General features: G+C 39.2%; 1 protein-coding gene across 22 annotated transcripts in view; it reads left to right on the top strand.

Annotated features, from left to right (window-relative positions):
* The window catches only part of TSGA10 (testis specific 10), a 157706-nt gene that overhangs the window by 17810 nt on the left and 124094 nt on the right, over nucleotides 1-15802 (top strand). For 16 of the 22 annotated variants that reach the window (NR_146001.2, XM_047445931.1, XM_047445932.1 and 13 more), the window contains one exon: nucleotides 9981-10109. The exons of 3 other annotated variants lie outside the window; for them this stretch is intronic. Coding sequence is in view for 9 of the 19 variants with exons in the window: in XM_047445931.1 (XP_047301887.1) it covers nucleotides 9981-10109 (129 nt within the window). In the remaining 10 variants the exon portion in view is untranslated. Of the gene's footprint in view, nucleotides 1-9980; nucleotides 10110-15802 lie in introns of those variants that run through there. 3 more of the 22 variants (XM_017005044.2, XM_024453158.2, XM_006712781.3) reach the window with 3 other exon arrangements.

The following is a 15802-nucleotide window of genomic DNA, read 5'->3' as shown; positions in this document are numbered from 1 at the left end:
GCATGGTGGCAGGTGCCTGTAATCCCAGCTACTTGGGAGGCTGAGGCAGGGAATTGCTTGAACCTGGGAGGTGGAGGTTCCAGTGAGCCGAGATCATACCACTGCACTCCAGCCTGGGTGACAGAGCACGACTGTCTCAAAAAAAAAAAAAAAAAGGAAGTCTGTTTTAGACACGTTAAAGTAGCCATGGCTGTGGACATCCCATAAAAGTAATATAATGCATTAAGTGCTCCAGAAGGGATATGTTCATAGTTCTTTTGGAATGAAGAGTAGATCCTAAGTCTTTTTTGAAGAAGTAGAAGTCAGAAATACTTTTTTTTTTTTTTTTTTTTTTTTTTTTTTTTTTTTTTTTTTTTTTGAGATGGAGTCTCGCTCTGTCGCCCAGGCTGGAGTGCAGTGGCGGGATCTCGGCTCACTGCAAGCTCCGCCTCCCGGGTTCACGCCATTCTCCTGCCTCAGCCTCCCGAGTAGCTGGGACTACAGGCGCCCGCCACTACGCCCGGCTAATTTTTTTTGTATTTTTAGTAGAGACGGGGTTTCACCGTTTTAGCCGGGATGGTCTCGATCTCCTGACCTCGTGATCCGCCCGCCTCGGCCTCCCAAAGTGCTGGGATTACAGGCGTGAGCCACCGCGCCCGGCAGAAATACTTTTTTTGTAGCTTCTTTCTCAGTGTTACCTTAGCATCTGTGTGCATTACTCTGATGTAGCAGTAATCATGCTGTGGTGTAATTTCTGATTTATTTGTTCTGGACTTTCCTAGATTCATTTAGGGTTGAAATTGTAAGATTCTATTTGTTTTACATCTTTTTATCCCCAGAAACATATTTCTGGTTCATTCTTATTCTAGCTATTTATAAGTTTACATATAAAGTGAATACATGTGACTGCTACAGTCTGAAAGCATGAACTAAAACAGTGATAGTAGGGATGGAAGAAATGTAACTGAGATAATTTTTAGTGAAAAGAGCAGTAGGACTTGATAGCCAATTAAATAAGTTGACTCAGTGAGAGGAATTAGTAATAATAGTAAATAATATATATAGTGCTTATCATGTGCCAGGCACTATTCTAAGTGCTAAAGTTAAAACATATATTAATTCATTTACTCCTCACGCAACTCTATGATGCAGACCCTTTTTTTTTTTTGGTACGAAGTCTCGCTCTTGTCCCCCAGGCTGGAGTGCAATGGTGCAATCTTGGCTCACTGCAACCTCCACCTCTCAGGTTCAAGTGATTCTCCTGCCTCAGCCTCTCGAGTAGCTGGGATTATAGGTGCCTGCCACCACACCCAGCTAATTTGTGTATTTTTAGTAGAGATGGGTTTTCACCATGTTGGCCAGGTGGGTCTCAAACTCCTGACCTCAGGTGATCCGCCCGCCTCAGCCTCCCAAAGTGCTGGGATTATGGGCATGAGCCACTGCACCCAGCCAATGCAGATACTCTTATTATCATCCCTGTTTTATAAATGAGGAAGCTATAGTCAGAGAAGTAACCAGGTCGCCCAAGATCACACAGCTAAGATGTGGCAGAACTAGGATAATGAATGTAGGCAGGCTGATACCAAAATACATGATATTAACCACTCTGCTGTGTGACTTCCTAATTGAGAATAAAAGTTCTTCCTTATTTTAGACTTCACATTGAAAAAAATAAAGAATAAATTAAAAATAATTTTTTAGTGGCTGGCAAGATGGCCAAATAGGAACTGTTCTATTCTGTCTGCAGCTCCCAGTGAGATGAATGCAGAAGGCAGGTGATTTCTGCATTTCCAAATGAGTGTAAACAAAGCTGGTGGGAAGTTCGAACTGGGTGGAGCTCACCACAGCTTGGCTAAGCTGCTGTAGCCAGACTGCCTCTCTAGATTCCTCCTCTCTGGGCAGGGCATCTCTGAAAGAAAGGCAGCAGCCCCAGTCAGGGGCTTATAGATAAAACTCCTATCTCCCTGGGACAGAGCACCTGGGGGAAGGGGTGGCTGTGGGTGCAGCTTCAGCAGACTTGAATGTTCCTGCCTGCTGGCTCCGAAGAGAGCAGCAGAGTGCCCAAGCTCTGCTAAGGGACAGACTGCTGCCTCAAGTGGGTCCCTGACCCCCATGCCTCCTGACTGGGAGACATCTCCCAGCAGGAGTCAACAGACATCTCATATAGGAGAGCCCTGGCTGGCATCTGGTGGGTGCCCCTCTGGGACGAAGCTTTCAGAGGAAGAAACAGGCAGCAATCTTTGCTGTTCTGCAGCTTCTGCTGTTTGCTGGTGATACTCAGGCAAACAGGGTCTGGAGTGGACCTCCAGCAAACTCCAGCAGACCTGCAGCAGAGGGGCCTGACTGTTAGAAGGAAAACTAACAAAAGGAATAGCATCAATATCAACAAAAATGACGTCCACACAGAAACCCCAGAAACCCCATCTGCAGGTCACCAACATCAAACACCAAAGGCAGATAAATCCATGAAGATGAGGAAAAACCAGCACAAAAAGGCTGAAAATTTCAAAAACCAGAACGCCTCTTCTCCTCTAAAGGATTACAACTGCTCGCCAGCAAAGGAGCAAAACTGGACAGAGAATGAGTTTGACAAATTGACAGAAGTAGGCTTCAGAAGGTGGGTAATAACAAGCTCCTCTGAGCTATAGGAGCATGTTCTAACCCAATGCAAGGAAGCTAAGAACCTTTAAAAAGGTTAGAGGAATTGCTAACTAGAATAACCAGTTTAGAGAAGAACATAAATGACCTGTTGGAGCTGAAAAACACAGCGTGAGAACTTGGTGAAGCATACACAAGTATCAATAGCTGAATCAATCAAGTGGAAGAAAGGCTATGAGATTGAAGATCAACTTAATGAAATAAAGCATGAAGACAAGATTAGAGAAAAAAGGATGAGAAGAAACAAACAAAGCCTCCAAGAAATATGGGACTATGTGAAAAGACCAGACCTACCTTTGATTGGTATACTCTGAAAGTGACGAGAATGGAACCAAGTTGGAAATATCCTCAGGATATTATCCAGGAGGACTTCCCCAACCAAGCAAGGCAGGCCAACATTCCAATTCAGGAAATACAGAGAACACCACAAAGATACTCCTCGAGAAGAGCAACCCCAAGACACATAATCGTCAGATTCACCAAGGCTGAAATGAAAGAGAAAATGTTAAGGGCAGACAGAGAGAAAGGTTGGGTTACCCACAAAGGGAAGCCTATCAGACTAACATTGGGTCTCTCTGCAGAAACCCTACAAGCCAGAAGAGAGTGGGGGTCAGTATTCAACATTCTTAAAGAAAAGAATTTTCAACCCAGAATTTCATATCCAGCCAAACTAAGCTTCATAAACAAAGGAGAAATAAAATCTTTTACAGATAAGCAAATGCTGAGATATTTTGTCACCACCAGACCTGGCTTACAAGAGCTCCTGAAGGAAGCACTAAACATGGAAATGAAAAACATACCAGCCACTGCAAAAACATACCAAATTGTAAAGACCATCAACACTATGAAGAAACTGCATCAACTAATGGGCAAAATAACCAGCTGGCATCATAATGACAGGATCAAATTCAAACATAACAATATTAACCTTAAATGTAAATGGGCTAAATGCCCCAACTAAAAGACACAGACTGGCAAATTGGATAAAGAGTCAAGACCCATTGTTGTGTTGTATTCAGGAGACCCATCTCATATGCAAAGACACACATAGGCTCAAAATAAAGGGATGGAGGAGTATTTACCAAGCAAATGGAAAGCAAAAAAAAGCAGGGGTTGCAGTTCTAGTCTCTGATAAAACAGACTTTAAACCAACAAAGATCAAAACAAGACAAAGAAGGGCATTACATAATGGTTAAGGGATCAATGCAACAAGAAGAGCTAATTATCCTAAATATATATGCACCCAATACAGGGCACCCTCATTCATAAAGCAAGTTCTTAGAGACCTACAAAGAGACTTAGACTCCTACAGAATAATAGTGGGAGACTTTAACACCCCACTGGCAATATTAGATCAACTAGACAGAAAATTAACAAGGATATTCAGGACTTGAACTTAGCACTGGACCAACCGGACCTAACAGACATCTACAGAACTCTCTTCCCCAACTCAACAGAATATACATTCTTCTCAGCAACACATCACACTTATTCTAAAATTGACCGCATAATTGAAGTAAAACACTCCCCAGCAAATGCAAAAGAATGGAAATGATAACAGTCTCGCAGACCACAGTGCAATCAAATTAGAACTCAGGATTAAGAAACTCACTCAAAATCACGCAACTGTATAGAAACTGCTCCTGAATGATAATGGGTACATAACGAAATTAAGGCAGAATTAAGTTCTTTGAAACCAATGAGAACAAAGACACAACATACCAGAATCTCTGGGACACAGCTAAAGCAGTGTGTAGAGGGAAATTTATAGCACTGAATGCCCACAGGAGACAGCAGGAAAGATCTAAAATCAACACCCTAACATCATGATTAAAAGAACTAGAGAAGCAAGAGCAAACAAATTCAAAAGCTAGCAGAAGATAAGAAGTAACTAAGATCAGAGCAGAACTGAAGGAGATAGAGACACGAAAAGCCCTTCAAAAAATCAATGAATCCAGGAGCTGGTTTTTTGAATAGATAAACAAAATAGACCGCTAGCCAGACTAATAAGAATCAAATAGACACAATAAAAAATGATAAAGGAGATATTACCACTGATCCCACAGAAATACAAACTACCATCAGAGAATACTATAAACGTCTCTACACAAATAAACTAGAAAATCTAGAAGAAATGGACAAATTCCTGGAAGGGTATATACCCTTCCAGGACTAAACCAGGAAGAAGTTGAATTCCTGAATAGACCAATAACAAGTTCTGAAATTGAGGCAGTAATTAATAGCCTACCAACCAAAAAAAAAGCCCAGGATTAGATGGATTCATAGCTGAATTCTACCAGAGGTACAAAGAGGAGCTGGTACCATTCCTTCTGAAACTATTCCAAACAATAGAAAAAAGAGGGAATCCTCCCTAACTCATTTTATGAGTCCAGCATCATCCTGATACCAAAACCTGGCAGGGAAACAACAACAGCAAAAAATTTCAGGCCAATATTTCTGATGAACATCGATGTGAAAATCCTCAATAAAATACTGGCAAACCAAATCCAGCAGCACATCAGAAAGCTTATTCACCATGATCAAGTCGGCTTCATCCCTGGGATGAAGTTGTATGGTTCAACATACGCAAATCAATAAACATAATCCATCTCATAAACAGAACCAATGACAAAAACCACATGATTATCTCAATAGATGGAGAAAAGGCCTTCGATAAAATTCAACACCCCTTCATGCTAAAAACTCTCAGTAAACTAGGTATCGATGGAATGTATCTCAAAATAATAAGAGCTATTTATGAGAAACCTGTAGCCAATATCATACTGAATGGACAAAACCTGGAAGCATTCCCTTTGAAAACCAGCACAAGACAAGGATGCCCTCTCTCACCACTCCTATTCAATATAGTATTGGAAGTTCTGGCCAGGGCAATCAGGCAAGAGAAAGAAATAAGGGGTATTCAAATAGGAAGAGAGGAGTCAAATTGTCTCTGTTTGCAGATGACATGATTGTATATTTAGAAAACCCCACTGTCTTAGCCCAAAATCTCCTTAAGCTGATAAGCAACTTCAGCAAAGTCTCAGGATGCAAAATCAATGTGCAGAAATCAGAAGCATTCCTATACACCAGTAATAGACAAACAGCCAAATCATGAGTGACCTCCCATTCACAATTGCTACAAAAATAATAACATACCTAGGAATACAACTTACAAGTGATGGGAAGGACCTCTTCAAGGAGAACTACAAACCACTGCTCAAAGAAATAAGAGAGGACACAAACAAATGGAAAAACATTCCATGCTCATGGATCAGAAGAATCAATATTGTGAAAATGGCCATACTGCCCACAGTATTTTATAGATTCAATGCTGTCCCCATCTACTTTCTTCACAAAATTAGAAAAAACTTCCTTAAATTTCACATGGAACCAAAAAAGACCCCATATAGCCAAGACAATCCTAAGCAAAAAGAACGAAGCTGGAGGGATCATGCTACCTGACTTCAAACTATACTACAAGGCTACAGTAATCAAAACAGCATGGTACTGGTACCAAAACAGATATATACCAATATATATATACCAATGGAACAGAACAGAGGCCTCAGAAACAACGCCACACATCTACAACCATCTGATCTTTGACAAACCTGACAAAAACAAGCAATGGGGAAAGGATTCTCTACTTCATAAATGATGTTGGGAAAACTGGCTAGCCATATGCAGAAAACTGAAACTAGACCCCTTCCTTACACCTTATACAAAAATTAACTCAAGATGTATTAAAGACTTAAACATAAAACATAAGACCATAACAACTCTAGAAGAAAACCTAGGCAATACCATTTAGGACATAGGCATGGGCAAAGACTTCATGACTAAAACACCAAAAGCAATGGCAAGAAAAGCCAAAATTGACAAATGGATCTAATTAAACTAAAGAGCTTCTGTACAGCAAAAGAAACTATCATCAGAGTGAACAGGAAACACAGAATGGGAGAAAATATTTGCAATCTACCCATCTGACAAAAGGTTAATATCTAGAATCTATAAGGAACTTAAACAAATTTACAAGAAAAAAACAGACGACCCCATCAAAAAGTGGGCAAAGGATATGAACAGACACTTCTCAAAAGAAGACATTTATGCAGCGAACAAACATGAAAAAAAGCTCATCATTGGTCATTAGAGAAATGCAAATCAAAACCACAATGAGATACCATCTCATACCAGTTTGAATGGCGATCATTAAAAAGTCGGGAAACAGCAGATGCTGGAGAAGTTGTGGAGAAATAGGAACGCTTTTACACTGTTGGTGGGAGTGTAAATTCAACTAATTTGTGGAAGACAGTGTGGCGATTCCTCAGGGATCTAGAATCAGAAATACCATTTGACACAGCAATCCCATTACTGGGTATATACCCAAAGGATTATAAGTCACTCTAAAGACATATTCACATGTATGTTTATTGCAGCACTGTTCATAATAGTAAAGACTTGGAACCAACCTAAATGCCCACCAATGATAGACTAGATAAAGAAAATGTGGCACATATACACCATGGATACTGTGCAGCCATTAAGAAGGATGAGTTCATGTCCTTTGCAGGGACATGGATGAAGCTGGAAACCATCATTCTCAGCAAACTAACACAAGAACAGAAAACCAAACACAGCATGTTCTTACTCATAAGTGGGAGTTAAACAGTGAGAACTCATGGACACAGGGAGGGGAACATCATATACCAGGGCCTGTCAGGGAGTTGGGGGCCTAGGGGAGGGATAGCATAAAAAAGAAAAAATAATTTTTTTTAAGAAGGAACATTGTTTCACTTGCCTTCTCTGAGAACGGTACAGGAGCACAAGTTCCATTCTAATGATGAGATTGCAGCAAGGTTGAGGATATTTATGTGGCCTGAGGTAGGGAAGCTGGCAGACCAGGCATGGGAATTTCAGATACACTGATGTGTCTTTCCTCTAGTGATATTGCCCCCAAAGCTGGTGGAGGGAGGATAGCAACTCCAGCATGATTGGTTAGGATTGTCAGGTGGACTTGTGGTCTCTTGCTATTTTTAATTCCTAGCTGGGCCTGATAGGTAATTTTGCAAAAGCCCCACTTTATTCGGTTTACCAAAGAGGAGGAAGAAAGTTTAATTTTGTATGCTTTATCACACTGCTTCATTATCAACCTCAACAAATTTTTTGACACTTTTTATTACGTAAATAACTGTGCAGGTTAATGGGGATAGAGAGAGTTTTTGGACATTGCTTGTTCTTAAGAGTCTAATAAATGTGTGAGGAAGACATCCAGAAAAATTTAGAACATAAATTCTTCTATATATATAAATATCAATTAAGAGATGATCATTATGCAGTGGAGAAGACAGAGAAAACCTGGAGAATATGGAATTCCAGCTGAGCCTTAAAAATGTCTTAAGTTAAATGGAGAAAATAGTGAGGGCAAGGCTCATTGAACAGATGATAAAATACTTTTGAATATATGTATTAAGAATGTGTTGGCTGGGTGCAGTGGCTCATGCCTGTAATCCCAGGGAGACCTAGGCGGGAGGATCTCTTGAGCCCAGGAGTTAAAGACCAGCCAGGGCAGCATAGGGAGACCCTGACTCTACAAAATTTAAAACAATTAGCCAATTGTGGTGGCACATGCCTGTGTTCCCAGCTATTTGGGAGGCTAGGGTGAGAAGATTGCTTGGGCCTGGGGTTCGAGGCTGCAGTGAGCCGTGATCATGCCAACCTGGGTGACAGGGTGAGACCCTTAAGTGTTGCATAGTTTGTCTTTCATAGAGGGATTCTTGGAGGTATCAAGTAGGAGGTAAATTTGGAGAAGTAGGAAGGGACAAAATTACAGAAGTACTCTGAATATTGGATGGGTTTAGACTTAAATAGATCCTTGCTATTCAAATAAATCAGAAATTACAGCACAGCATGATTCAACATGTGGTCTCTGTACCAACCAAATAGGGATCTCCAAGCAGCTTTATAGAAATGTCAAATCTCAGCCTGTAAATAAGAATCTGCATTCACACAACATTCCCAGATGATTCTTAAATTCAGTAAAAATTGAACAGTACTGCTCTAGTGAGGAGTCGTTTCATTCTGTTATTCTAAATCATGTTTATAACTAGCAATACATTTTTAACAGAAACCATGTAAGAAATGGTAGTTAGGAGTTCAGTCCAGCCCCTGGGGGTTTAAATGCTTCATAATTTGAAATATTCTGTGAGATCTAATGTTGAGGTTCCAGGTGGGGCAGTAACTGTTGCAATGAAGAAGAGTTGTGTCTTGTTTAGAGAAGAGAAAAAAGGGAAATAAATCTGCCGGCCTGTCTAAGTGCTGGGTTACACAGAGTGCATCATAAGGTCAGTGACTGGGGAGATCCTGATTCTGTAATTCCCTAGGTAGGATTTTGGAGAACAGCAGCTGTGTTTTGAGGAAAGATCTAAGATGCTCATAACAAATTCTTTTTTAACACAATGGTAGCCTTGATTCAAGGAAAGAAAAAATTGTTTTCCTAAGTTACACAGTCTCTAAGATATGTTGTCAAGTAAAATAGCGTGATGCAGAATAGTATGTATAGTATGCTAAAGTGAAAAATCTCTAACATTTGTTATTTTGCATAAGTGTACATATATATAGCTGTAGTATAAATTTCTAGAAATGAAATTATTTGAACAGAAGCTATGTGCATTTGTCATGTTGATAGATTTTATACCATTGTTCTCCATAAATATTGTATCAGTTTACTCTCCCACCGGTGATACGTAAGGACGCTATATCCATGTTACTGATCTTTGCCATGTGATGGTTAAAAGGGGGTATCTCAGTGTTTTAATTTGTGTCACTAAAGGTTGAGATTGAACATCTTAATATTTAGGAGCCGTTTCTGTAAATGTTCACATTCTTTGCCAATTTTTCTATTAGAGTACTTTTTTAATCTTTTTTATTTCTAGGGATTATTTCTATATTCAGGAAATTCACTCTTTGTGATATTAATTGCAAACCTTTTTTCTTGTATAGAGTAGCAACAGCAAACGTAACTCACTAATAGCTATTTTGGACAACACAAGCCTAGAGGTAGACTCTTTAATTTGCTACTGATCCATATTTCTGTAGAACCATGATTACCAAAAGGATAGTGTAGGGAATGTCTTTGAAAAGCATGTTCAGTACCATTTGGACAACACACAGAAAAAGTTTTATAAATTTTAAGAAGGTAAAGTTTGATGAAATCCTCTTAGCTGGTGGGAAATGGTTAAAAAAAATCTAAGAATATTATCAATTTTCAAAATGTATTGATGTAAGAAATCACAGAGCTGTTTTAAACTGAATGCCTCTGTATTATTTCCCATTCTTTGTACTAGGTTACCACCAAAGAATATGATTTTGGTCTAGGGGCTCCAGTTTCTGAAGCTGAAAACTACCAGAATACTCTCCAGCTAGAACAAGAAGTGAGAAACCAAGATAGATTCATCTCGACACTGAAATTACAGGTTGCGTTTAGTTACAACATATTTTCCTGACTTAATTTGGGGTGGGAGCCTATTTTGAAACAAGAAGATAGAGAATAAATAACTACTAATTCAGAGCTCATTTAAATGTTATGGGTCTAAAATCATTCAATTTTTATCTTAACCATTTTGATAAACATAGAGTCAGAGTCAGTGAGTGCAAACTACGTGTCAAGTGTTGTGTCAGATGTTTTCAGGTATACAGTTTTTACTTAATCATCCCCAACTTGCGAAAAAGTGATGCCGTTTCCATTTATAGATGTGGAAGCTGAAGTTCTAAGAGGTTAAATAATTATGACACTTGAGTAACAAGTGACAGAACTACGATTTCTCCAAACTCCCGTGTTAGCCGGGATTTGAACTCAATTCTCTGAACTTCAAGTTCAGTATTGTTCCTGTTCTCCTGATGCTTGACATGTAATATAGCTATTAATAAAGGCTATTAAAAGAGATTTCTTTTTCCAGGAAGATAGAGTAGACTTACTTTTTTTTATTCCTCCTGCTAAGTACAGCTAAAAACTCTGAACATTATGTATAAAAGAATTTAAGACTTTGAAAGGTGGAGAGGAGAAGGAACATTGGCTAAGGATCTCAAGACACAAAGAACAACATGTTTGTTCCTGGGTTTCTTTTTCTCCGTATGTCGCAGACAGCTGCTAGAAAAACTGGCAACTAGAAATAACAATAGGCACAAAAGAAAGACCGAAGAAAAGGACCAGGAAAGGAGCAGCCTATCAAGGCAGACAACTTTTAAGAGAGTAACTATCCACTCCAAGCAAATACCACAGAAAAAACTACAGCCCCATTCCTGCCAGCTCAGGCCAAGTAAAGAGCCTACACTTTCCACGCTTGCCAGACTATAACAAGGAGCCCCACTTGTGCCTCACCTACACACTTGTGCCCCACTTGTGCCTACACCTACCCACTCCTCCCACACCAGGGTGATATCAGAGAAGGCTAAGTGGGAAACTAGGACTTTTATCCTCACCAGGGGATAAGGAGGCCCTGAACCCCGTGATGTCAGCAGAGACAACATGAGGAGCCAAGCCATCTACTCCTACTTTATAGTAAGAGGCACTCCTTCTTGCTGTGGTGGAGACCTGAACTTCTACCACCTATCAGCAGTAAAGGCCACCCATCCATGGTGTCAGTGGGGGACACGTAGGGAACTGTAATGAGGCACCTCTGGGATTCTTCCCAGGCTGGTGGTAATGGCAGAGGCCTAGTGGGGAGCCTGAACTCCCATTCTTGCCTAGCAGTATCTAGGAACACCACCCTTTCCAGATATCAACAGATGCCAAGTAGAGGAACTGGACTTCTACTTTGATCTAACAGAAATAAGGCAATGTCCCTTCTTTTTAGTTGGAGCATTGTCACAGGAGGCCTGCTAAAACATAAGATCCAGAGTCTTACAATGCTAGGTCTCAATTTTTAAAAAAGGCATTGTAATCCAAAGAATCAGGAAGATTTGAGAAAAGACAAGAGAAGCCAACACTGAAATGGAACGGATGTTACAATTATCTGGCAAGGACTTTAAAGCAGTCATATAAATGCTTCAGCAAGCAATTATGAACATGCTGGAAACGAATGAAGAAAAGTTGTCTCAGGAAAAAATAAGAGATGTAAAGAAGAACCAAATGGACATTTTGGAACTAAAAAATAAAGTAACTGGTCCACACAAAAATCAGCCTATGAATGTTTATAGCAGCATTATTATAATTGCCAAAAACTTGGAAGCAACCAAGATATCTTTCAATAGATGAATGGATAAGCAAACTGTTGTACACCTATACAGTGGAATAGTATTCAGTGTATTTTAAAAATGAGCTACGTAGCCATGAAAAGACCCAGAGTGAACCTTGAAAACATGTTACAAAGCTGAAAAGGCTACGAAATGTATGATTCCAACTATATGGAGATGATAAAACTATAGAAACCATAAAAAGAGCAGTAGTTACCAGGAATTGGAGGGAGAGGGGATGAATAGGTGGAGCACAGGATTTTTAGGGGAGTGAAACTATTCTGTATGATATACTAATAGTGGATACATGTCATCCTATGTGTGTCAAAACTCACAGAATGAATAACGCCAAGAGTGAACCCTAAGGTAAGTTATAGATACTAGTTATTAATAATGTAACAGTAGGCCGGGCGCAGTGGCTCACACCTGTAATCCCAGCACTTTGGGAGGCCGAGGCGGGCGGATCATGAGGTCAGGAGATCGAGACCATCCTGGCTAACACGGTGAAACCCCGTCTCTACTAAAAATAGAAAAAAATTAGCCGGGCATGGTGGTGGGTGCCTGTAGTCCCAGCTACTTAGGAGGCCGAGGCAGGAGAATTGTGTGAACCCGGGAGGCAGAGGTTGCAGTGAGCCAAGATCATGCCGCTGCACTCCAGCCTGGGCGACAGACCGAGATTCTGTCTCAAAAAAATATATATATATAATGTAACAGTATTATTTCATCAATTGTAACAAATATACCACATTAATACAAAATGTAAATAATAGAGGAAACTGTGTTGAGGAAGAGAGAGAGGAGTGTGTGGGAACTCTTTGTACTTCCTAATCAATTTTTTGTAAACCTAAAACTACTCCAAAAACTTAGTCTGTTAACTACATGAGAGAAAATATTTCCAAATTACATATCTGAAAAGGGCTTAATATCTAGAATATACAAAGGACTCCTACAATTAGCCCCTTTCCCCCCAGAAAAATCTAATTCAAAAATGGGCAAAGGACTTGAACAGACATTTCTCCAAAGAAGATATACAAATGTCAATAAATACATGAAAAAGATGCTCAACATCATCAACCATTAAAGAAATGCAAATCAAAACCATGAGATACCACTTCATACCCATTAGGGTGGTTGTTATAATGGAAAATAACAAGTGTTGGTGAGGATGTGAAGAAATTGGAACACTTGCATTGCCGATGGGAATGTAAAATGGAGCCACCTTGGTGAAAATCATTTGATGGTTTCTCAAAATTTTAAAGACAGACTAATAATATGATCCAGCTATTCCACTCCTAGGTATATATCCTAAAGAGTTGAAAACACGGACTCCAGTAGATACGTATATACAAATGCTCATAGCAGCATTATTCACAGTAGCCAAGAGGTAGAAAAAACCCAAATGTCAACAAATGAATGGATAAACAAAATATGGCATGTGCTTACAATGGAATATAACTCAGATTCAAAAAGGAATGACATTCTGATACATGCTGCAAAATGAATGAACCTCAAAAACATACTAAGTACAATAAGCCAGACATAGGAAGACAAATAATGCTTGATTCCACCTCTGCCTAGAATAGGCAAATTATGGAGATAGAATTGTTGTTTAATGGGTACAGAGTTTTTTGGGGGAGGGGAATAAAAAAATTCTGGAAATAGGTAGTGGTGATGGTTGTACAACATTGTGAATATACTTAATGCCACTGAATTATATACTTTAAAAATGTTAAAATGAAAATTATGTATATATATTTTGTGACAATAAAACAAGCTTTAAAAATAAAGTAACTGAAAATAAAAGCTCAATGTTCTCAATAGAATGGAGGAGAGGAATGAATCAGTGAACACGAGACTAGAAAAATAATTACCTAATGTGAACATCAGAGAGAAAATAGATGGAAAAAAATTTGAATAGAGCCTCAGAGACAGGTAAAACTATGTTCGACAAAAAAGTGAGAGAAAGTGGTGCTAAAAAAATTTGATGAGATAATGGCTGAATTTCCCACAAATTTGACACAAAGACATAAAACAGATGAAAGAAGGTGATGGAATACCTAACAGGAGTCACCCAAAGAAATGCATGCCAAGACACTAAAAAAATCCTGAAAGTAACCAGAGAGAAACCATGCATTATCTATAGAAGAACACCAATTCAAGTGACAGCAGTTATTTTTCATCTGAAAAACTGGAGGTAAGAAGGAAGTGGCACGACATTTTTCAAGTGCTAGAAAAAAGCAAACCTGTCAACTCAGAATTTTATATCCAGAGAAAGTATCCTTGAAGGTTGAGGGAAAGTAAAGACATTCTCAGATAAAGAAAAATTAAGATAATTTGTGCCAGCAGAGCTACCCTAAAAGAATAGCTAAAAGTATTTCTCTAACCAGAAAGGAAGTGATAAAAGAAGTAATCTTGGAGCAGTAGGAAGGAAGAACAATATATAGAGCAAAAAATATGGGTAAATGAAACAGAATTTCTTTCTTTCTTTTTTTTTTTTGGAGACAGGGTCTTGCTCTGTCATCCAGGCTGTAGTGCAGTGGCATCATCTCTGCTTACTGCAGCCTTGGCCTCCTGGGCTCAAGCAATCCTCCTACCTCAGCCGTTCAAGTAATTGGGACTGCAGGCATGCACCACCATGGTTGGCTGATTTTTTTTTTTTTTTTTTTTTTTTTTGGTAGAGATGGAGTTTTGCCATGTTTCCCAGGCTTGTCTTGAACTCCCATTCTTAAGTGATCCACTGCCTCAGCCTCCCAAAGTCCTGGGATTACAGATGTGAGCCACTACTCCGATTCAAATTTTTTTTTAATTTTACAAAATTGTATTTAACTGTCGAATGTGGTTTTAAATGCATGTACAGGAAATATTTAAATTATTTTATTAATAGGGGAGAGTAAAGGGAGCTAACAGGTAAGGTTTCTGTACTTTCACTTGAACTGTTAAAATGTAGGCTATGATAAGTTCTGTATATATAATGTAATGCCTAGAACAACTGGTAGAAAAAGATCAAACAAGAGTTACACTCAGAAACACTATAAATAAATCAACGTAGAATTCTAAAAAATGTTGAGATAATCCACAGGAAGGCACCAAAAACAAAACTCTTCATGATTTCAACACTTATAACTACAGTAATCAAGACTGTGATATTGGTGAGGGATAGATACATACATGAATGGTACAGAACAGAGAATCTAGAGATAGTCCTATACAAGTACAGCCAAACGATTTTTTGACAGAGATGCAGATGCAGTTCAGTGGAAGATAGTCTTTTCAACAAGTGGTGTTGGAGCATTTAGATACAGGGAAAACAGTTACCCTCCACTTAAATCTCACACTTCATAAAAAATTAAATGGACCATAGATGTAAATGTAAAACATAAAACTATGAGACTTTTAGGAGGTAACATAGGAGAAAATTTGCAGGAAGTTAGGCTTGGATGGAAAGTTCTTAGATATGATACCAAAAGCATGACTCATAAAAGGAAAAATTGGTAATATGGACTTAATCAAAATTGAAGTTTTTGGCCGGGTGTGGTGGCTCGTGGCTATAATCCCTGCACTTTGGCAGGTGGATGGATCACTTGAGGCCAGGAGTTCAAGACCGGCCTGGCCAACATGGCAAAACCCCATCTCTACTAAAAATTACACAAATTATCTAGGCAGGTGGTGCATGCCTGTAGTCCCAGCTACTTGAGAGGCTGAGGTGGGAGGATCACTTGAACCCAGGAGGCAGGTTGCAGTGAACTGAGATTGTACCACTGCACTCCAGCCTGGGTGAGAATGAGATTCTGTCTCAAATATATATACACACATATATATATATGAATATATATACTTCACAGAAGGATGTCTGGTATACTAGAAAAAGATGTTCAGCCTCTGTAAACATCAGGGGAATGCAAATTAAGGCCATGATGAAATAACAATACAGTAA

This window comes from Homo sapiens, chromosome 2, assembly GCF_000001405.40.
Source record: "Homo sapiens chromosome 2, GRCh38.p14 Primary Assembly".
Classification (NCBI taxonomy): Eukaryota; Metazoa; Chordata; class Mammalia; order Primates; family Hominidae; genus Homo; species Homo sapiens.
The sequence above is the reverse complement of the archived record's forward strand: the minus strand, read 5'-3'. Positions and strand labels throughout refer to the sequence as shown.